This window comes from Homo sapiens, chromosome 20, assembly GCF_000001405.40.
Source record: "Homo sapiens chromosome 20, GRCh38.p14 Primary Assembly".
Classification (NCBI taxonomy): Eukaryota; Metazoa; Chordata; class Mammalia; order Primates; family Hominidae; genus Homo; species Homo sapiens.
The window spans coordinates 35,807,277-35,830,738 of record NC_000020.11 but is presented as its reverse complement, the minus strand read 5'-3'; the positions used below and the strand labels follow the sequence as shown (position 1 = coordinate 35,830,738).

Genomic DNA, 23,462 nt, shown 5'->3' with positions numbered 1-23,462 from the left:
AAAAAGTTGAAGGGAAAAAAAAAGCAAACTTCTGAATTAATAAAGTGATGGATTATCTAACTATAAAGTTGATGTGAAAAAGAAAAAAAAGCACTGCAGCAATTCCACTTCTGGGTATATATCCAAAAACACTGAACACAAGGACTCAAACAGATGTCTGTACTCCAGAATTCACACAGCATTACTCACAACAGTCAAAAGACAACCCAGTAGTCAAAAAGCCACCCAAGTGTCTAATACATGAATAGATAAAATGTGGTATATCCATACAATGGAATATTATTCAGCCTTAAAAAGGAATAAAACTCTAATACATGCTACAACACAGATGAACCTTGAGGACTTATGCTAAGTGAAATAAGCCACTTGAAGGACAAATACTGCATGATTCCATTCATCTGAGTTATCTAGAGTAGCCAGATTAATGAAAGCAGAATAGAGGTTACCAGGAGCTAAGGGGAGAAGGGATGAGGCAGTTGCTGATTAATAGATACAGGGTTTCAGTTTGGAGAGATGAAAAAATCAGGCCGGGCACGGTGGCTCACACCTGTAATCCCAGCACTCTGGGAGGCCGAGGCAGGTGGACTGCCTGAACTCGGGAGTTTGAGACCAGCCTGGGCAACATGGTGAAACCCCGTCTCTACTAAAATACAAAAAATTAGCCAGGCATGGCGGCATGCGCCTGTAGCCCCAGCTACTTGGGAGGCTGAGGCAGCAGAACTGCTTGAACCCAGGAGGCAGACGTTGCAGTGAGCTGAGATCGCACCACTGCACTCCAGCCTAGGTGACAGAGCGAAACTCCATCTCAAAAAAAAAAAGAAAAAGAAAAAATCTTGGGCTGGGCGTGGTGGCTCACACCTATAATCCCAATACTTTGAGAGGCCAAGGCAGGAAGATTGCTTGAGGCCAGGAGAGACAGGGTTTCCACGTTACCTAGGCTGGTCTCAAACTCCTGGGCTCATGCAATATGCCTGCCTCAGCCTCCCAAAGTGCTGGGATTATAGGCATGAGCCATGGCGCACGGCTAAGGCCAGGAGTTTGAGACCAACATAAACAACATAGTGAGATTTTATCTCACTATGAAAAATTTTAGGTCAGGCTCAGTGGCTCATGCCTGTAATCCCAGCACTTTGGGAGGCTGAGGCAGGTGGATCACCAAAGGTGAGGAGTTTCAGACCAGCCATGGCCAACATGGTGAAACATCATCTCTACTAAAAATACAAAAATTAGCCAGGCGTGGTGGCACAAGCCTATAATCCCAGCTACTCGGGAGGCTGAGGCATGAGAATCACCGGGAGGCAGAAGCTGCAGTGAGCTGAGATCGCACCACTGCACTCCAGCCTGGCAACAGAGTGAGAATCTATCACCAAGAAAAAAAGAAAAAAGAAAGAAAGAAAATATTTTGGAGAAGTAGGCTGGTAATGGTTGCAGAACAGTGTGAATGTATTTAACGCTACAGAACTGTACTGCACACCTAAAAATGATTAAAATACTAAATTTTATGTTGTATGTATTTTACCACAAGCATATACACAAAGCACTGCTGCTTCTGCCCTGCACTCTCTCAGATTCCCTGTTCTAGGGTAAGTCAGGTGCTACATCGTGAGAACATTCTAGATGTCTATGGAGAGGTTCACATGACAAGGAACTGAGGCCACCTGTCAGGAACCAGCACCAACTTGCCAGCCCTGTGAGTGAGCCCCCTTGGATGCAGCCTTTATGAGATCCTGGGCCAGAAGCCCCCTCAACCCCCCATTACGCCGCTCCTGAATTCCTGGCCCATAGACACCTAGAGAATAATAAATGTTTATTGTTTTAGGACACTAAATTTTGAGAAAATGTGTTACACAGCACTAAGTAGCTAACAAAGTTGCATTTTGCTAGACTGCTTTGGTATCTAGAAATGGAGTCTATCAATAGTTTATAGGTTAGAGGTGCCAGTCCTCATGTTTTCAGGTTTGAGAAACACTGCTCTAAGCTACAAGATAAGCCAACATGTCCTAGGGCTCCACCAAGGGAGAGAGAGGGCTGTAAGACAGTAAAGCACTGCCACTGCTGGCATGACTCCATGTGCACAGCCAGAAGGCAGAGAACAGTACAGGTCTAATTCAGGGAAACAGTGTTGACATGCCTGCCCTATATGACCTTAAGCCCCAGGAAGGCTTGCCGCTCAGAGTCTTGCTGCATCTGTGTAAAATTAAGCTGCCTAATACTACATACCGTGCACGTGCTTAAACTAGAGCAGCCAGACAGTGCTTGGCAGGAATCTGTTTTGTTCCCCCCTATATACCAGAAATACTAACTAAAGAAACATCATGGGGCCGGGGAGAAAAAAACAGAAAGGATGACAATTTCCTTCCGAATTCCCACTACAACTCATCAGTGTTCACCCACATGGCTATTAGTAATTAATGAGGCTGGGCGCGGTGGCTCACACCTATAATCCCAGCACTTTGAGAAGCCAAGGCGGGCGGATCACCTGAAGCCTGGAGTTCGAGACCAGCCTGACTAAAATGGAGAAACTCCGTCTCTACTAAAAATACAAAATTAGCCTGGGCATGGTGGCACATGCCTGTAATCCCAGCTACTCGGGAGGCTGAGGCAGGAGAATTGCTTGAACCCAGGAGGCGGAGGTTGTGGTGGGCCGAGATCATGCCATTGCACTCCAGCCTGGGCAACAAGAGCGAAACTCTGTCTCAGAAATAAATAAATAAATAAATAAATAAAACTAATGAGTGCAGCTTACTCTAGGGTTTGTAAACTATCTTTATCTAAGGTATCTCACTTGATCATGCCATGAAGACTTAAGGAGTCATTATTATTACTGCCCCCTTTTTACATTCATGGAAATGGAGCCTCAAAGAGAATGACTAGGAAGAGGCACAATCAAGATCGATATCTACATCTAACTCTAAACCCGGTGAAGAGCCTTCTGCTTTTTTTTTTTTTTTTTTCTGAGATGGAGTCTCGCTCTGTTGCCCAGGCTGGAGCGCAGTGGCGTCATCTTGGCTCACTGCAAGCTCCGCCTCCCGGGTTCACACCATTCTCCTGCCTCAGCCTCCCGAGTAGCTGGACTACAGGCACCCGCCACCACGCCCAGCCAATTTTTTGTATTTTTAATAGTGACAGGGTTTCACCGTGTTAGCCAGGATGGTCTCGATCTCCTGACCTCATGATCCACCCACCTCAGCCTCCCAAAGTGCTGGGATTACAGGCGTGAGCCACCGCACCCGGCTATGAGCCTTCTGCTCTTAACTGGACTCCACATGTAAACATTCCTGCAGTCACCACATCCACATGGGTGTCTTTTGTCTTAGCCATGTAATAGTCTACTTAACTGCGTGGCTAGCCCAGAATTTGACTTAACTTTCCCCCAGAGGTTAAGCATTCAGACTGCTTCCAGATTCTTTGCTATATAAACAGTTTGTCTGCAAACATACAGCACTCATTTTACTTCAAGAATCAGAAAATTACCCAGACGTGGTGGCGCATGCCTGTAATCCCAGCTACTTGGGAGGCTGAGGCAGGAGAATCACCTGAACCCAGGAGGCAGAGGTTGCGGTGAGCCAAAATCGTACCATTGCACTCCAGCCTGGGCGACAAGAGCGAAAAAAAATCAGAGCTTGCCTCTATTCCTGGCTCAGGGCACATACCAGAAGCAAAATACTTCTATGCACAAAAGGAACATTCTAAGCCATCACCAGCCTTTGCTGGAGAGGAGATGGGGATGGAAGATATATTTAGTAAAAAACAAAAGGCTGACTATTAAACTGCAGAAAAACTGCTATTTTGAATGCCTTAACTCTTTCCCTACCCCTTCACCACTTCCATTAATCAACATCTGATATAAGAAAGGTCTTAAATTTATCTTTCCTCTCTATCTCAATCATTTCTTACCAGCAACAACTGAACAGTCAGTATGTACACATCACCCCTAAACCCCTTCTATCAGTACCCAGCAGAATGCCTGATACAGAGCCACTCAGCAAATATCTTATGACAGAATGAACACTGCCAATTTTCTGTTACTAAGAAGGATCAAAACATGTCTCTCTCCTGCTTAAATTTTCACTCTTCAGTTCAATCTCCCACCACTCCTGTTACCTCCCTGGATTCTCAGAACACACCAAGTTCTTTCAAGCCCTGAATATTTTTGCTGATGTTATTCCTTCTGCCTTCTCCCCCTGCCACTCTCTTCCTGGAAATCTTCTCATTCTTTAATTTCACTTCCTTGCATATGCCCTCAAATTACTGGCGACTCTCTTCCTCATCACAACTGCCACCCAACCCTGGTTATTTCAGACTCCACATTCTCCATTCCTGTACCCAGACAGCTAAATGTGGCTAGAGAAAACACTCAACATGCTGATGGGTCTCACTTTAAATGCATGTCTAGGCCAGGTGCAGTGGCTCACACCTGTAATCCCAGCACTTTGGGAGGCCGACGCGGGCAGATCACCTGGGGTCAAGAGTTCGAGCCCGGCCTGGCCAACATGGCGAAACCCCATCTGTACTGAAAATACAAAAATTAGTCGAGTGTGGTGGCGGGCACCTGTAATCCCAGCTACTCAGGAGGCTGAGGCAGGAGATCACTTGAACCCAGGAGGCGGAGGTTGCAGTAAGCCGAGAACGTGCCACTGCCATCCAGCCTGGGGGACAAGAGCGAAACTGTCTCAAACACACATACATACATATATAAAATGCATATCTGCAAACAGGTATTAAACAGTAATTCTCTTTGGGGGTAGGAGAGGGACAAAAAAGCTTCCGGAGTGCCCATAATGGTCCATATCTTGATTTGGGTGGTGGCTATAGAAGTGTATACATATGTAAAAGTTCATCAAGCTACACATTTAGGGTTTATACACTCTACTATAAATTAAAACTCAACAAAAAGTATTTTTAAAATAAAAGTGTAAGAGCTGGGTGCTATAGTGCATGCCTATAATCCCAACTACACAGGAGGCTGAGGCAAGAGAGCTGCTTGAGCCAAAGAATTGAAGGCTGTAGTGTATTTCATGGCACTCGTAAATAGCCATTGTACTCCAGCCTGGGCAACAAAGCAAGACCCTCTCTCTAAAAATAATTAACCTAATTATAGAGTAGCAATTTTGCACTCTTCTTAATTCAATGTCTTATACCTTTAAGGAGCCAGGAAAATTAATATCAAAAAAGTTTTTAGCCAGGCATGGTAGCTTACACCTGTAACCCCAGTGCTTTGGGAGGCCGAGGCAGGAGGATAACTTGAGGCCAGGAGTTTGAGGCCTGTCATTAGCTACTGAGTAAAGTGGAGCCTGAGGAGGGAGTGCAAACTCCTAAATATTTCATACCTTATCTTCTTTCCTCAAACCTAAGCCCTCCCTGTCCTGATCTCAGTCTCAGCTGATAATTTTACTTCTTATTGAATGTAAAAAATAGCTGGGCACGGTGGTATGCACCTGCAGTCCCAACTACCCAGGAGGCCTGAGGCAGGACAATCACTTGAGCCCAGGAGTTTGAGTCCAGTCTGGGCCAATACCAAGACTCCCATCTCTTCAAAATAAAAACAAACAGGATTCCCATTGCTGGTGGGAGTGTAAAATGGTGCAGCTACTACGAAAAGCAATTTAGCAGTTCCTCAAAAGGTTAAACAGAATTACCATATGATCTGACAATTCCATCTTAGGTATATACCCATATGATGTAAAATCATATGTCCACACAAATGTGTACTCACAATACCCAAAAAGAAGAAACACTGTAAATACCCAACAACTGATGAATGGGAAAACAAAATATGGTATACTCATATAATGGAATTATTCATCCACAAAAAGCAGTAACGTACAACATAGATGAACCTTGAAAATAGCATGCTAAGTGAAAGCAGCTAGTCACCTACTGTATGACTCCATATCTATGAAATGTCCAGAACAGGCATATATATAGAGGGAAAGTAAATTCGTGTTTGCCTAGGCTGGGAAGGGCAGGGAGGAAATAGGGTCTGACTGCTAATGTGTATGAGGTTTCTTTTTGGGATAATGAGAATTCTGGAATTAGATAGTGGTGACAATTGTACAACTTTGTAAATACACTGAAAACCATTGAATTATTGAATTGTATGCTTTGAAATGGTAAATTTTTTTTTTTTTTTGAGACAGAGTCTCACTCTGTCACCAGGCTGGAGTGCAATGGCGTGATCTTGGCTCACTGAAACCTCTGCCTCCCGGGTTCAAGCGATTCTACTGCCTCAGCCTCCCGAGTAGCTGGGACTACAGGCACATGCCACCACACCCAGCTAATTTTTGTATTTTTAGTAGAGACAGGGTTTCACCATGTTGGCCAGGATGATCTCGATCTCTTGACCTTGTGATCCGCCCACCTCAGCCTCCCAAAGTGCTTGGATTACAGGCGTGAGCCACCACACCCAGCCTAAAAGGATGAATTTTATAACATGTAAACTATATCTCAATTTTTTAAAACAGTTAATTAAAAAAAAAGGAGAGAAAAAAAAGAATCCCACCAAGTGCTGACAACAATGCAGAGCAACTGGAATTCTCATACATTCCTGACATTCCTGGTGGAAATGCAAAATGGTACAGAGACTCTGAAAAAGTTTGGCGGTTTCTCACCTGGTTAAACATACACTTACATGACCCAGCAATCCAGCTCGCTGGTATTTATCCAAGAGAAATGATAACTTATATTCTCATAAAAACCTATATATAAATGTTTATTCATATTAACCCAAAACTGGAAACAATCCATATGTCTTTGAACACATAAACAGATAAGCTGTGGTATATCCATCCAATGGAATACTTACTACTTGGTTCTAAAAGCAACAACCCTTTATTTTGCTCATGCAAAAATACGGGTGAGTCTCAAATGCATTACGCTAAGTTTAAGAAGCCAAATCCAAAAGGCTATGTACTGAATAATTCCATTATAACACACTATGGAAAAGGCAAAACTGTATAGACAAAGGACAGATCAGTGGGTGACAGGAGCTGGAGGTGCCAGGAGAGGCTGATTACAAATGGACATGAGGAAATTCTGTGGGTAACAGAAGTGCTTTATATCTTTTTTTTTCTTTCTTCACCCCTTTTTTTTTTTTTTTTTTTTTTGAGACAGGGTCTCGCTCTATCACACAGGCTGGAGTTGGAGTGCAGCGGTACAATCACAGCTTGCTGCAGCCTTGACCTCCTGGGCTCAAGCAGTCTTCCTCCCACCCCAGCCTCCTGAGTAGCTAAAACTATAGACACACACCACCACACCCAGCTATTATTATTACTTTTATTATGGTTTTTTTTTTTTTTTTTTGAGAGACGAAGTCCCATTATGTTGCTTAGGCTTGTCTTGAACTCCTGGGCTCAAGCAATCCTCCCACGTTGTCCTCCCAAGGTGCTGGGATTATAGGCATGAGTCACCATTCCCGGCCCATATCTTGATTGTGGTGGGGCTTGCGTGAACTGTCAAATTTGGCAAAACTCAACTGTATTCTGAAAAAGAGCGAATTTTACTATGGGTTGAGCATCTCAAATCCAAACATCCAAAATCCGAAACTTTTTGAGCATCAAGTTGTCTTTTTATGAATATTGTACTTTTTTTGTACTTTTGTAACTTTTATGGATTTTGACAAATGTATAATGTACACATATGGATTTTGATAAATGTGTAACATACACATATACATTATACATTTGTCAAAATCCATAAACAATACAACACCAGCAGCAAACCTTAATGCAAACTATGGTCCTTGGGTGGTACTGAGGTGTCAATATTGGTTCATCAACTGTAATAAATGTACCACTCTGGTGCAGGATGTTGAAAGTGGGGGAGGCTGGAGGGAGAACACAGGAATATGGGAACTTGATACATTCTTTTTTTTTTTTTTTTTTTTTTTTTTTAGAAGCAGGGTCTTGCTCTGTGACCCTGTGACCCAAGCTGCCATGCAGTGGCATAATCATGGCTCACTGTAGCCTCAAACTCCTGGGCTCATGCGATCCTCCCACCTCAGCCTCCCAAGTAGCTAGGACTACAGGTGCAAGCCACCCCCTACCCCAGCTAATTTGTTTTATTTTTTGTAGAGACAGGGTCTTGCAATGGTGTCCAGGCTGGTCTCAAACTCCTGGGCTCAAGCAATCCTTCCACCTCAGCCTCCCAAAGTGCTGGGATTACAGGCATAAACCACTGTGCCCAGCCAGAACTCTGTACTTTCTGCTCAATTTTGCTGTGAACCTAAAACTGCTCTAAAATATAGTCTATTTTTTTAATCCCATTTACTCATTACCAACTCCCAAATTCCTTTACTTTTTTTCTTTTTTTTTTTGAAACAGGGTCTTGCTCTGTTACCCAAGCACAATCATACAGTATAGCAGCACAATCATAGCTCACTGCAGCCTTGACCTCCCTAGCTCAAGTGATCCTCCTACCTCAGCCTCCCCAGTAGCTGGGACCACAAGCTCACACCACCATGCCCAGCTAGGTTTCTTGGGGTTTTTGTGTATATATGTGTTGTAAGACAGAGTCTCACTATGTTGCACAGGTTGGTCTCGATCTTGGGATTCAAGCGATCTTCCGTCTTGGCCTCCCAAAGTCCTGGGATTACAGGCGTGAGCCACCGCACTCAGCCCAACTCCCAGATGTCTATCTCTAACCCAGGGCTCACACTTGAACATCTGACTCTGTTATTCAACTATCCATTCAACATCTCCACTTAGTCATCTCAAAGGAATCTCATATATTTAACATGCCCAAAACCAAACTGCTTATCATCTCCCTAGAACCTAGTTCTACTGAAGTCTACCCCATTTCAGCATGTGGTAATTCCATCTACTGGTACCGAGAGAAAAAGCCCTTGGAGTCATCCTTGACTCTTCTCTATCTCTTACATGTCGTCAGCAAATCTGTCAGCTGTACCTTCAAAAATTATACAGACGCTGATCACTTCTCATCAACTCCCCCACTGCTTTTTAGTTCAAACAACTATCATCTTTCACATGGACTAATACAAAAGATCCTTGCTCTTCTTGTTTCTGCCCATGGCTGCCTACAGCATATTCTACACACAATAACCACAGCAACTTTATTTTTTTGAGACAGGGTCTGGCTCTGTCACCTGGGATGGAGTGAAGTGGCACCATCTCAGCTCACTGCAACCTCTGCCCCTCAGGTTCAAGTGATTCTCCCACTTCAACCTCCCAAGTAGCTGGGACCACGGGTACACACCACCATGCCTGGCTTTTTTTTTTTTTTTTGTATTTTTGGTAGAGACAGCGTTTTGCTATATTGCCTAGGCTCACAGCCCCTTTTTTTTTTTTGACAGAGTTTCGCTCTTGTTGCCTAGACTGGAATGCAGTGGCACAATCTCAGCTCACTGCATCCTCCACCTCCCGGGTTCAAGCAATTCTCCTGCCTCAGCTTCCTGAGTAACTGGGATTACAGGCGCCCACCAACACTCCAGGCTAATTTTTTGTATTTTTAGTACATGTCAGCCAGGCTGGTCTCAAACTCCTGGCCTCAAATGATCCACCCACCTCGGCCTCCCAAACTGCTGGGATTACAGGTGCGAGCCACTGCACCTGGCCCACAGCCACTTTTAATACTTGAAATCAGATAACATTGATTCCCTGTTTAAGACCTTTCAATGACTTACTATCACATTTAGAATAAAGTCCAAACTCCTTATTATGGCCGATCTGGCCCCTGCTGACCTTTCTGGGCTCACCTCCTACCTCTGGCCTCTCACTCTCTACCCTCCCAGCCACATGTTCCTACCTATTATTGCTTGAATGCCCTGCTTGCTCCTACGCCAGGGCTTCTGCCTTGGCTGCCTCTGTCTGCAACCCTCTCTCCTCTGGATACTAACATGACTCACTCCCTCACTTACTTTAGGACTCTATTTAAATGTCTGTCAGAGAGATCTCCTCTGTTCACCCTCTATATAAAAAAAGCAAAACACATACACACATAGAGGCACTCTACCCACTTGAAAGTACTTATTCTGGCCAGGTGTGATGGCTCACACCAGTAATCCCAACACTTTGGGAGGCTGAGGCAGGCAGATCACGAGGTCAGGAGATCGAGACTAACCTGGCTAACACAGTGAAACCCCATCTCTACTAAAAAATACAAAAAATTAGCCGGGCATGGTGGCAGGCACCTGTAGTCCCAGCTACTTGGGAGGCTGAGGCAGGAGAATGGTGTGAACCTGGGAGGCGGAGCTTGCAGTGAGCCAAGATCATGCCACTGCACTCCAGCCTGGGTGGCAGAGTGAGACTCCATCTCACAAAAAAAAAAAAAAAAAAAGTACTTATTCCACTTTCTAGCATTTATCACCACCTAACATTATCTATATATATCAGTCTGCTGGTTTCTGTTCTATCCACCTCCACTGGAATGTCAGCTTCTAAAGATCAGGGACTATGTCTGTCCTAATCACCACTATTTCTCCAGCATCTAGCATTGAATGAATGACTTGGCATCAAAAGTCATCTTTCTGAAGCCTTCTGAAATTCCCACATATGAAATTAACTATTCTCCCCTAGGGGTTTTTGTAAATGAACTTTGTACAGAGTAAATATCTCCTCATAATATATTTAATTTCAGGGACTTTATTCTAGGTACTGAACACATGCGTGGGGATCAAAGCCACACCCGACCATGCTCAGAAGCCAACTAGCTAGACTCAAATCCTAAATTCACCATTTACAGCTACATAGCACTGGAAAACTTAACTGCTTTCTGCTTCTATTTCCTCATATATAAAGTAGAATAAAAGTACCCCCTTCATAGCATCTAAAGGATTAAAGGAGGTATAACATATAAAGCCTTTAGATTTGTGCCTGGCACAGAGTAAATCACTCAATAAATGTGAGTCACTAGCAAAGACATAAGCATTAGAATACATGATTAACGACCCTTGGCTATCAATACTAAAAACCAAAGCCAAATACTTGACTCGTCTCTGAACATCTTGAAGTACTTATTTTCCTTCATTTCATAGCACCTAGTGTACCACCTGACTCACAGCATTCAATACATGTTTGTGGAAAGCTCAGAAAAGATTGCTTAAAAACACACACACACACACACACACACACACAGATGGTGTAAGGAGTAAAGAGGTATGAACCAGAAACTCAGATGAGATCAGTACAAATAACCCTAATGAAAAAGAAACCAAAAATGATCTAAGGACATTATGAAACTCAGATTTTTAAATCTTCTGTACAAGAAATGGAAGCGAACTATGATCAACTTAAATAGAAACACAGTAGTGGAAAGGTACCAGAGTGTCAGGAAAGCAACAGAAGGAGCTTTTTCGTTGTGTTTGGAGCAAGAACAGGGAAGGCCAGCCTACTTCTTGGAACAGATGGCACACTCCTGACAGATGACAGGAAGAAGGCGAAGGCAGCAGAGCAAGCAGATTCTATTCTATCCACCAAGTATCACTACTAGGAAACTGCAGCCTCTCAGATTTTAGTTCATCTATAAAACGCAGGAAGCAAATAGGGAAGGCAGGGCTGGGCACAGTGGTTCACGCCTGTAATCCCAGCACTTTGGGAGGCTGAGGCGGGCAGATCACCTGAGGTCAGGAGTTCGAGACCAGGCTGTTCAACATGGTGAAACCATGTCTCTACTAAAAATACAAAAATTAGCTGGGTGTGGTGGTGCATGCCTGTAATCCCAGCTACACAGGAGGCTGAAGCAGGAGAATCGCTGGAACCCAGGAGATGGAGGCTGCAGTGAACCGAGATAGGGCCACTGCTCTCCAGCCTGGGCAGCAGAGCAAGACTGTCTCAAAACAAAACAAAACAAAACAAAAACAGGGAAGGCAGGATTACCCCTTCTACAGAGAAGAAAATGGACATGCTGAAAGTTCACCCCAAAGTGGTAGATTAAAAATTAGAATATAGGCCAGGTGCAGTGGCTCATGCCTGTAATCCCAACACTTTGGGAGGCCAAGGTAGGAAGATCACTTGAGCCCTGGAGTTTGAGACCAGCCTAAGCAACACAGCGAGACTCAGTCTCTATAACAAATACAAAAATGAGCCAGGTGCAGTGGCATGCACCTATAGTCCCAGCCTACTCAGGAGGCTGAGGTGGGAGGATCACTTGAGCCCAAGAGTACCAGGCTACAGTTATGATCACACCACTGCACTCCAGCCTTGGTGACAGAGCAAAACTCTGTCTCAAAAATGCTAGGCCAGGCACCTGTAATCCCAGCACTTTGGGAGGATGAGGTGGGTGCACTGCTTGAGCCCAGAAGTTTAAGACCAGCCTGGGCAACATGGCAAACCCCACCTCTACAAAAAATACAAAACTTAGCCAAGGGTGGCGGCACATGCCTGTAGTCCCAGCTACTCAGGAGGCTGAAGTAGGAGGATCATGGCTCACTGCAGCCTCAACCTCTCAGGCTCAAGCAATCCTTCCACCTCAGCTAATTTTTTGTTTTGTTTTGTTTTGTTTTGTTTTTTGAGACGGAGTCTTGCTCTGTCACCCAGGCTGAAGTGCAGTGTCGCAATTTCGGCTCACTACAACCTCCACCTCCTGGGTTCAAGCAAGCCTCCCACCTCAGCCTCCTGAGTAGCTAGGATTACAGGCATGCGCCTAATTTTTTTTGTACTTTTAGTAGAGACGGAGTTTCACCATGTTGGCCAGGCTGGTCTCGAACTCCTGAACTCAAGTAATCTGCCCACCTAGGCCTCCTAAAGTGCTGGGATTACAGGTGTGAGCCACCATGCCTGTAATTTAATTATAATTAAATTTATACTTTAATTATAAAAATATAATTTTTATATTTTTTTGTAGAGATGGGGTTTTGTCATGTTGCCCAGGCTTGTCTTGAACTCCTGGGCTCAAGTGATCTGCCTACTTCAGCCTCTAAACATGCTAGGATCACAGGCATAAGCCACAACACCTGGCCAAAAAATAATTTTATTTTTTAAATTTTTTTGAGACAGGGTATCACTCTGTCACCCAGGATGGAATGCAGTGGCACGATCTGGGCTCACTGCAACCTCCGCTTCCCGGGCTCAAAGGATTCTCTAGCCTGTCTCCTGAGTAGCTGGGACTACAGCCAGGAGCTACCAACACCCAGCTAACTTTTTTATTTTTTGTAGAAACAGGTTTTTGCCATGTTGCCCCCAGCTGTCGTTGAACTCCTGAGCTCAAAGCAATATGCCCACCTTGGCCTCCCAAAGTGCTGGGATTGCAGGTGTGGGACACCATGCCTGGCCCCAAAAATAATTTAAATGCAGAAATAGGTCTGGCGTGGTGGCTCACGCCTGTAATCCCAGCACTTTGGGAGGCCGAGGCAGGTGGATCACCTGAGGTCGGGAGATCAAGACTAGCCTGGCCAACCTAGTGAAACCCCATCTTTACTAAAAATACAAAAATTAGCTGGGCGCCGTGGCAGGGGCCCGTAATCCCTCCTATTTGGGAGGCTGAGGCAAGAGAATCTCTTGAACCCAGGAGGCGGAGATTGCAGTGAGCTGAGATCACGCCATTGCACTCCAGCCTGGGTGACAGAATGAGACTCTGTCTCAAATAAATAAATAAATAAATGCGGAAATAAAATTAGACTGTAGGAGTATTTAAAAAAAAAAGAAAGAACTGTTAGTTCACATAACAGATTAAAAAAAAACAACAACAACACTTATGGCCAGGCGCAGTGGCTCACGTCTGTAATCCCAGCACTTTGGGAGGACAAGGAGGGTGGATCATGAGATCAGGAGTTCGAGACCAGCCTGACCAACATGGTGAAACCATGTCTCTACTAAAAATACAAAAAATTAGCCAGGCGTAGTGGTGCACGCCTGTAATCCCACTACTCACGAGGCTGAGGCAAGAGAATCGCTAGAACCCAGGAGGCAGAGGTTGCAGTAAGCCGAAATTGCACCACTGCACTCGAGCCTGGGCAACAGAGCAAGACTCCATCTCAAAGAAGAAGAAAAAAAAAAAACTCATTTAATTTTGGATTAAGTTTATGACATAAATCGGCCGGGCGCAGTGGCTCACGCCTATAATTCCAGCACTTTCGGAGGCTGAGGCGGGCGAATCATAAGGTCAGGAGTTCAAGACCAGTCTGGCCAACACAGTGAAACCCGAACTCTACTAAAATTACAAAATAAAATTAGCTGGGTGTGGTGGCAGGCACCTGTATTCCCAGCTACATGGGAGGCTGAGGCTGGAGAATCGCTTGAACCCCGGAGGCAGAGGTTGCAGTGACCGGAGATTGCGCCATTGCACTCCAGCCTGGATGACAACAGCAAAATTCCGTCTCAAAAAAAAAAAAAACTTAAAAAAAGTTTATGACATAAATCAAATATAATTTGTCCTGAGTAAGATATACATTTTTCAAATGTCAAAAAATCCTTAAAATTCACTCAGTATACTTGTTAATAGTAATATTGATATTGTAACTTTAAAACTATTTCACATATAACACAGAATAAGGCAAGTAGGTTAAAGTATGATTAGGAACAAAGATTTTCGGGCCGGGTGCAGTGGCTCACGCCTGTAATCCCAGAACTTTGGGAGGCTGAGGTAAGTGGATCACGAGGTCAAGAGATCGAGACCATCCTGGCCAACGTGGTAAAACCCCACCTCCACTAAAAATACAAAAATCGGCTGGGCATGGTGGCGCGTGCCTGTAGTTCCAGCTACTCAGGAGACTGAGGCAGGAGAATCACTTGAACCCCGGAGATGGAGGTTGCTGTGAGCTGAGATCCAGCCCCTGCAGTCTAGTCTGGGGGACTGAGCGGGTCTCCATCTCAAAAATAAACAAATATATAAATGCCTTTTGTCAATTATATCTCAATAAAGCTGGAGGGGGAATATATATGTATTTCCAAAACGATTTTGCTTGTTTGTTTGTTTTTTTGAGACAGAGTCTCAACTGCAATCTTGGCTCACTACAACTTCTGCCTTCTGGGCTCAGGTGATCCTCTTACCTAGGCCTCCCAAGTAGCTGGAATTACAGGCATGCCAGGCGCGGTGGCTGACGCCTGTAATCCCAGCACTTTGGGAGGCTGAGGCGGGTGGAACACGAGGTCAGGAGACCGAGACCATCCTGGCTAACACAGTGAAACCCTGCCTCTACTAAAAATACAAAAAATTAGCCAGGCATGGTGGCATGCGCCTGTAGTCCCAGCTACTCAGGAGACTGAGGCAGGAGAATCACCTGAACCAGGGAGGTGGAGGTTGCAGTGAGCTGAGATCACTCGCGCTACACTCCAGCCTGGGAGACACACAGCAAGACTCTGCCTCAAAAAAAAAAGAATAAAAGAATTACAGGCACATGCCACAATGTCCAGCTAATTTTTTGTATTTTAAGTAGAGACATGGATTCGTCATAATGGCCAGGCTGGTCTCCAACTCCTGACCTCAAGTGATCTGCCCACCTCAGCCTCTCAAAGTGCCCAGATTACAAGCATGAGTCACCGTGTCTGGCCATATTTTGAGTTTCATTTAGCATAGTTACACCATGCATATTCTATGTTAGTTCTTTTTGTTTCATCTATTTATTTACTTATTTATTTATAATTTTTCGGGGGACAGAGTCTCCCTCTGTCACCCAGGATGGAGTCCAGTGTCGCAATCTCAGCTCACTGCAACCTCTGCCTCCTTTGGCTCAAGCAATTTTCCTGCCTCAACCTCCCGAGTAGCTGGAATTACAGGCACCTGCCACCACACCCGGCTAATTTTTGTATTTTTAGTAGAGACGGGGTTTCATCATGTTGGCCAGTTTGGTCTCAAACTCCTGACCTCAGGTGATCCGCCCACCTTAGCCTCCCAAAGTGCTGGGAATACAGGCTTGAGCTACTATGCATGGCCTATTTATTTATTTATTTATTTTATTTTTTTTTTTTTTTTTTGAGACGGAGTCTCGCTCTGTCGCCCAGGCTGGAGTGCAGTGGCGGGATCTCGGCTCATTGCAAGCTCCGCCTCCCGGGTTCACGCCATTCTCCTGCCTCAGCCTCCCAAGTAGCTGGGACTACAGGCACCCGCCACTACGCCTGGCTAATTTTTTGTATTTTTAGTAGAGACGGGGTTTCACCGTTTTAGCCGGGATGGTCTCGATCTCCTGACCTCGTGATCCACCTGCCTCGGCCTCCCAAAGTGCTGGGATTACAGGCGTGAGCCACCGCGCCCGGCCTATTTATTTATTTTTGAGACAGTGTCTTACTCTGTTACCCAGGCCTGATATTTCCAACTTAAATTTAATATTATAGGCCGGGCGCAGCGGTTCACGCCTGTAATCCCAGCACCGTGAGAGGCCAAGGCAGGCGGATCACTTGAGGTCAGGAGTTCGAGACCAGCCTGGCCAAGAGGGTGAAACCCCATCTCTACTAAAAATACAAAATTAGCCAGGCATGGTGGCATGCGCCTGTAGTCCCAGCTACTTGGGAGGCTGAGGCAGGAGAATTGCTTGAACTAGGGAGGCAGAGGTTGCAGTGAGCCGAGATCGTACCACTGCACTCCAGCCTGGGAGACAGACCAAGACTATCTCAAAAAAATAAATAAATAAATTGGAAGTATCAAAGTGAACTCACATTTTTTCAAAAAATAGATTTCTTACCCCCATCTACTAAAAAGTTGTTTAAGACAATGACATCCTAGCAGCAATAAACACACCCAGTGCCCAGAGCTAAATTTCTTTTTTTAAAAACCAATGTTTTATTTTATTTATTTATTTATTTATTTTATTTAGAGATAGAGTCTTATTCTTATCACCCAAGCAGTGGTGTGATCATAGCTAACTGCAGCCTCAACCTCAGAGGTCAATTTCCTTTTTTTTTTTTTTTTTTTTTTTTCTGAGACGGAGTCTCACTCTGTCACCCAGGCTGGAGTGCAATGGTGTGATCTTGGCTCACACACAGGCTGGAGTGCAATGGTGTGATCTTGGCTCACACACAGGCTGGAGTGCAATGGCGCTATCTCGGCTCACTGCAACCTCCACCTCCCAGGCTCAAACAATTCTCCTGCCTCAGCCTCCTGAGTAGCTGAGACTACAAGTGCGTGCCACCACGCCTGGCTAATTTTTGTATTTTTCGTAGAGACAGGGTTTCACTATGTTGACCAGGCTTGTCTGGAACTCCTGACCTTCTGATCCACCTGCCTAGGCCTCCCAAAGTGCTGGGATTACAGGCGTGAGCCACCGTGCCCAGCTCAGAGGTCAATTTCTAAATACCCTTTCCTAATTAAAGAAACCAAGCCTTGGAGAACCAGCTGCGTCCAGGGTCTGGGATAAGAAAAGTAGAAAGTAAGTTTGGGGTTTCTAGTAGTGCCAGAAAACAAGAAAATGCTAAGGGACTAACAGGAATTGTCAAAAGAACAAAGGAGCTAGTTTAAACAGCATCCCACTGGACAAATTTGGGATAATTTTAGCACAAAATTAATAATAATGAATGGAATTGACTACACCACCACACTCAATAATCTTATTCCTAAGTGCACTTTAAAAGAATAAAAATGGGCCGGGCGCGGTGGCTCACCGCGCCTGTAATCCCAGCACTTTGGGAGGCCGAGATGGGCAGATCACGAGGCCAGGAGATCGAGACCATCCTGGCTAACAGGGTGAAACCCAGTCTCTACTAAAAAATACAAAAAAAATTAGCCGGGCGTGGTGGCGGGCGCCTGTAGTCCCAGCTCTCGGGAGGCCGAGGCAGGAGAATGGCGTGAACCTGAGAGGCAGAGCTTGCAGTGAGCCAAGATCGCACCACTGTGCTCCAGCCTGGGCGACAGAGGGAGACTCTGTATCAAAAATAATAATAATAAAAATGAAAGCTGTTCGTACAGAAGAACATCACCTAATATAACAGAATGACAAAACTAGAATATTACCATTTTTCCATCTCCAGAGTAATAACTGATTCAGGCAGGGATTATCAATGGATGCTAAATCATTAGGTAAATGATGTGGGGGGATAATAGGATATTGACACGTACCAGAGTATCCCCACAGATTATCTACTACTTGCACAAGGAAAAATACACCTTTATAATGGTGAGAGATGGAAGTCATTACCTTATCCAAGTGATACACGGAACAGTGGGACGACCTAGCTTTATGTGTCCCCCGATGTGATGCAATATGAAACACACGGCATTACCACTGAAACACTCTGCAAAAAAAATGTTTAATCTGAAGTCTAGACCTCATTTCCAGTTTACGGGAAATAGAAGAGAATACAAGAAACAAGTTAAACTCACCATGATAAAACAATGTGACTAAACCAGAATGTGGGACATTCTAAAAAACAACTGTTCGGAACTCTTAAAAATTAAACAAATAATGTTGTGAAGGGGAAAAATTTTTTTATTTTTTTGAGACGGAGTCTCGCTCTGTCTCCCAGGCTGGAGTGCAGTGGCTCGATCTCTGCTCACTGCAAGCTCTGCCTCCCGGGAAGAAGAAAGATTATCATGGAATCAAAGCAACTAAAGAGACATAAAAATAAAAAAGTAATGTGGATCCTGTCTGGAAAAATACTATAAGGGACATTTTTGGAACAACAAGAACATCTGAATATCTCTGGATATTAGATATTATAAAATTATTGCTAAATTAAATAAGTATATAAAACAAATGGGTTAACAATTAGTGAATACAGGTGGAAGGTATAATGTCCTCTCAACTTTTCATTATGTTAGAAAATTTTCTTAATAAAAAGCAGGGGCCGGGCGCTGTGGCTCATGCCTGTAATCCCAGCACTTTGGGAGGCTGAGGCGGGTGGATCACGAGGTCAGGAGATCGAGACCATCCTGGCTAACACGGTGAAACCCCGTCTCTATTAAAAAAATACAAAAAAATTAGCCGGGCGTGGTGGCGGGTGCCTGTAGTCCCAGCTACTCGGGAGGCTGAGGCAGGAGAATGGTGGGAACCCGGGAGGCAGAGCTTGCAGTGAGCAGAGATCGAGCCACTGCACTCCAGCCTGGGAGACAGAGCGAGACTCCGTCTCAAAAAAATTAAAAAATAAAAATAAATAAATAAATAAAAAGCAGGGACTGGGCCGGGCACAGTGGCACATGCCTATAATCCCAGCACTTTGGGAGGCCAAGGCAGGTGGATCACCTGAGGCCAGGAGTTCTCAACCAGCCTAACATGGTGAAACCCTGTCCCTACTAAATACAAAAAAAATTAGCTGAGCGTGGTGGCGCATGCATGTAATCCGAGCTGCTTGGGAGACTGAGACAGAAGAATCGCTTGTACCAGGGAGGCAGAGGTTGCAGTGAGCCGAGATTGTGCCATTGCACTCCAGCCTAGGCAACAAAAGCAAAACTCCATCTCAAAAAAAAAAAAAAGCTGGGACTTAGTTTCTTTAGGGCCCAAAAATAAGAACAAATAATTCAAGGATTCAGAGGCAAGAAGTCACAAGGACATAAGCAATTAAAAAGTGGGCCCTAGCCCAACGTGGTGGCTCACGCCTGTAATGTGAGCACTTTGGGAGGCCGAGGTGGACAGATCATGAGGTCAAGAGATCAAGATCATCTTGGCCAACATAGTGAAACCCCATGTCTACTAAAAATACAAAAATTAGCTGGGCGTGGTGACGCACACCTGTAGTCCCAGCTACTCGGGAGGCTGAGGCAGGAGAATCGCTTGAACCCTGGAGGCGGAGGTTGCAGTGAGCCGAGATCACGCCACTGCACTCCAGCCTGGCGACAGAGCAAGACTCTGTCTCAAAAAAATGAAAATAAAAAAAAAGTGGAACCTAATTCCCACACATTTCATTTCAATGGACTGAAAATACACACATACACACACAGAGAGACACAGACACACACAAAAAATATGGTTGTACCTTGCAGCAATACTATCTACTATAATGTAAGCAAATCACTTACCAGGGTGAAAACATAACCACTTTCAGTCTAGAGATAATAAAACAAACGCTCCATTGTTTTTGGCAAAGCATTCAAAGTCAAAGATTTTACCAAACAATTAAATGTCCAGTACTCTAGATTAGGAAATCAGGTGAACATAATCAGAATGCATTTTCCAGTGTTTTGTTTTGTTTTGTTTTTTGATTTAGGAGTCAGGAACATTCAGACACTCTGGAGAAATTTGGTTATTACAAAAATGCTATGAACTCAGTCTACTTTGATTCAAACCCTAGTCCTACCACTGTGTGACCTTGGGCAAATAACTTCATCTCTCTGAGACTCCTTTTTCTTACTGCTAAAATGAGGCTCATAAGAGCACCCACATGAGGGTACTCTCCCACTTGAAGACAGGTAGTCTCCCTCTCAGTGTGGCAGGGCTTTTATGGGTTCAGAATGGGGAATGTATGCTGATTGGTTTGTGCATATAACAAAAAGGCTAAAACAAAGGCGTCACTCAAAGGTGGGCATGACAGTGTAAAAAACCAATCAGGGAAGAGTAAATACATGTAAAACAGGTGAAGGGTGGGGATCAATCAGAGGAAACCTTGCCGAACTGGAAGAGAGGTTCTCAATCCAGTCCGTGGATTTACCCAGGACTTGTAGCTTGGCTTTCAGGCTTTAAACTGTCTTTGGAGGCCAGGCACAGTGGCTCATGCCTATAATCCCAGCACTTTGGGAGGCGGAGGCGGGCAGATCACCTGAGGTCACGAGTTTGAGACCAGCCTGGCCAACATAATGAAACCCCATCTCTACTAGAAATACAAAAATTAGCTGGGTGTGGTGGCACCTGCCTGTAGTCCCAGCTACTTGGGAGGCTGAAGCAGAAGAATCGCTTGAACTCAGGAGGCGGAGGTTGCAGTGAGCTGAGATCGCGCCACTGCACTCCAGCCTAGGCGACAAGAGCAAAACTCCGTCTCAAAAAATAAATAAACAAACAAACAAACTGTCCTTGGTTTGACAGTCAGGTTTCACCAGGGAACTGTCCCTATCTGCCTAGGCATTTGACTGCCACCTGCGGCTATCAGCACAATTGCAGCTCACTGCAACCTCAAACTCCTAGGCTCAAGCAGTCCTCCTGCCTCAGCCTCCCAAGTAGCTGGGACTTCAGGCATGTACCACCATGCCCAGAATTTTTTTTTTTTTTTTGAGACAGGGTCTCATTATATTGTCCAGGCTGGTCTTGAAATCCTTGACTCAATCAATCCTCCCACCTCACCCTCCCAAAGTGCTGGGATTACAGGCATGAGTCACCATGCCCAGCTGGATTATCTTTTTTTTTTTTTTTGAGACAAAGTCTTGCTCTGTCACCCAGGCTGAAGTGTAGTGGCACAATCTCAGCTCACTGCAACCTCTGCCTCCCAGGTTCAAACGATTCTCCTGCCTCAGCCTCCCAAGTAGCTTGGACTACAGGCGCACACCACCATGTCTGACTGATTTTTGTACTTTTAGTAGAGACAGGGTTTCACCATGTTGGCCAGGCTGGTCTCAAACTGCTGACCTCAGGTGATCCACCAGGCTTGGCCTCCCAAAATGCTGGGATTCCAGGTGTGAGCCACCACACCAGGCCCAGAATATCTTTTAAATGTTAAGTTGAAACTTTGTTTTTTTTTTCTTCCAAGACAGAGCTTTGCTCTGTCGCCCAGGCTGGAGTACAATGGCGTCGTGATGTTGGCTCACTGCAACCTCCACCTCCCAGGTTTAAGCAATTCTCTTGCCTCAGACTCAGGGGTAGCTGGGATTATAGGCATGTGCCACCACACCCAACTAATTTATTTTGTATTTTTAGTAGAGACGGGGTTTCACCATGCTGGTCTTGAACTCCTGACTTCATGATCCACCCGCCTTGGCCTCCCAAAGTGCTGGGATTACGGGCATGAGCCACTGCATCTGGCCAAATGTTAAGTTTAAAATTTGTTCCTAGAAATTTGTACAAGATGGCCATAACGTTTTCCTCTTTTCCATAAAGACACGGTTAAGAAAAAAAAAAATTGGGGCCAGGTGCGGTGGCTCACGCCTGTAATCCCAGCACGTTGGGAGGCCGAGGCGAGCAGATCACGAGGTCAGGAGATCGAGACCATCCTGGCCAACATGGTGAAGCCCCGTCTCTACTAAAAATAGAAAAAATTAGCCAGGCGTGGTGGCGGGCGCCTGTAGTCCCAGCTACTCGGGAGGCTGAGGCAGGAGAATGGCACGAACCCAGGAGTCAGAGCTTGCAGTGAGCCAAGATGCACCACTGCACTCCAGCCTGGGAGACAGGGCGAGACTCCGTCTCAAAAAATAAAAATAAAAATAAATAAATAAATGAAGATTAAAGGGGAAAATACGCATGGCCAGTTAATTAGATGCCCAAAAGCATTAAATTCAACATTACTCAGGCTGAAAAAAAAAAAACTTCCAGCAAACAAGGAATAGGCATGAACTTCTTTAATCTGACTAAACACATCTACTATGATCCTATGATAAACATCATACTTAATGGTGAACTCTCGGATGCGTTCCTGTTAAAGTCAAACAACAAACTATGGAAGGCTGCTATCATCACTGTCATTTAACATCTTGCTGCTATGATCCTAGTCAATGAACACAGAAGGGAAAACGGGAAGGAAAGAAAAAAAGTAAGGAAGGAAGAAAGGAAAAGAAATGAGAAGCAGAGGATTGGAAAGGAAGAGGCAAAACAGTTGTTTGCAGATACATGATGGTCTATGTAGAAAATCCAAAAGAACCATTAAGATGAACATGAAAATGGAGAAAGGTTTCTGTGTAAGACCAGATACAAGACTCAATAGCAATAAAGACTCATGTACCCATTACACATGGCCGCTTTTGCTTCCTCTATCTTCCCACCCTTTTCCCCCTTCATATTATCTCCTTTTTCTTCCTACTGCATATAATTACAGAATCTTCATATTATCTTGAAGCAAATCACAATGTATCATTTTATTCATAAATGTAGGTATATAATCTCTAAGAAATAAGAACTCTTAAAAAACAAAATTACAATATCACTTCCACATCTAAAATGTTAACGATTCTTTAATATCAAATAACCAATCAATGTTCAAACTTCCAACAATCTCATAAATGTCATAAATCTTTTTTAAGCAGTCTGCTTTTGTTTTCAAACTATATAAAATCCACATACTGAATTTGGTTAACAATATTCCTTCATGCCAGCAATAACCAAAGAGAAAAAATATATATATAAAGATCTGGCCAGGTGCAGTGGCTCACGCCTGTTATCCCAGCACTTTAGGAAGCCGAGGTGAGCAGATCACCTGAGGTCAGGAGTTCAAGACCAGCCTGGCCAAAATGGCAAAACCCCGCCTCTACTAAAACATACAAAAATTCCAGGCATGGTGGCGGGCATCTGTAATCCCAGCTACTCGGGAGTCTGAGGCAGGGAGAACTGCTTGAGCCTGGGAGGCGGAGGTTGCAGTGAGCCCAAATCGCTCTACTGCACTTTAGCCTGGGTGACAGAGCAAGACTTCATCTCAAAAAAAAAAAAAAAAAAAAGATCCATTCATAGAAGCAACAAAAACTAGACAGTACTTAGGAATAAATCTAACAGATAACATGCAAAATCTTTA

At 44.5% G+C, this 23,462-nt stretch overlaps 1 protein-coding gene across 6 annotated transcripts in view, besides 1 other annotated feature; it reads right to left on the bottom strand.

Annotated features, from left to right (window-relative positions):
* The window catches only part of PHF20 (PHD finger protein 20), a 178,356-nt gene that overhangs the window by 119,632 nt on the left and 35,262 nt on the right, over positions 1-23,462 (bottom strand). The window contains exon 2 of one of the 6 annotated variants that reach the window (XM_047440184.1): positions 18,020-18,116. The exons of the other annotated variants lie outside the window; for them this stretch is intronic. The gene's annotated coding sequence lies outside the window, so the exon portion shown is untranslated. The remainder of the gene's footprint in view (positions 1-18,019; positions 18,117-23,462) is intronic. 6 annotated transcript variants of the gene reach the window in all.
* Positions 11,113-11,292: an enhancer, noted in NCBI's record as "active region_17798". NCBI's record gives its function as "activates an Ori minimal core promoter by ATAC-STARR-seq in GM12878 lymphoblastoid cells {active_cell/tissue: GM12878}" and the evidence as "EXISTENCE:reporter gene assay evidence [ECO:0000049][PMID:35858748]".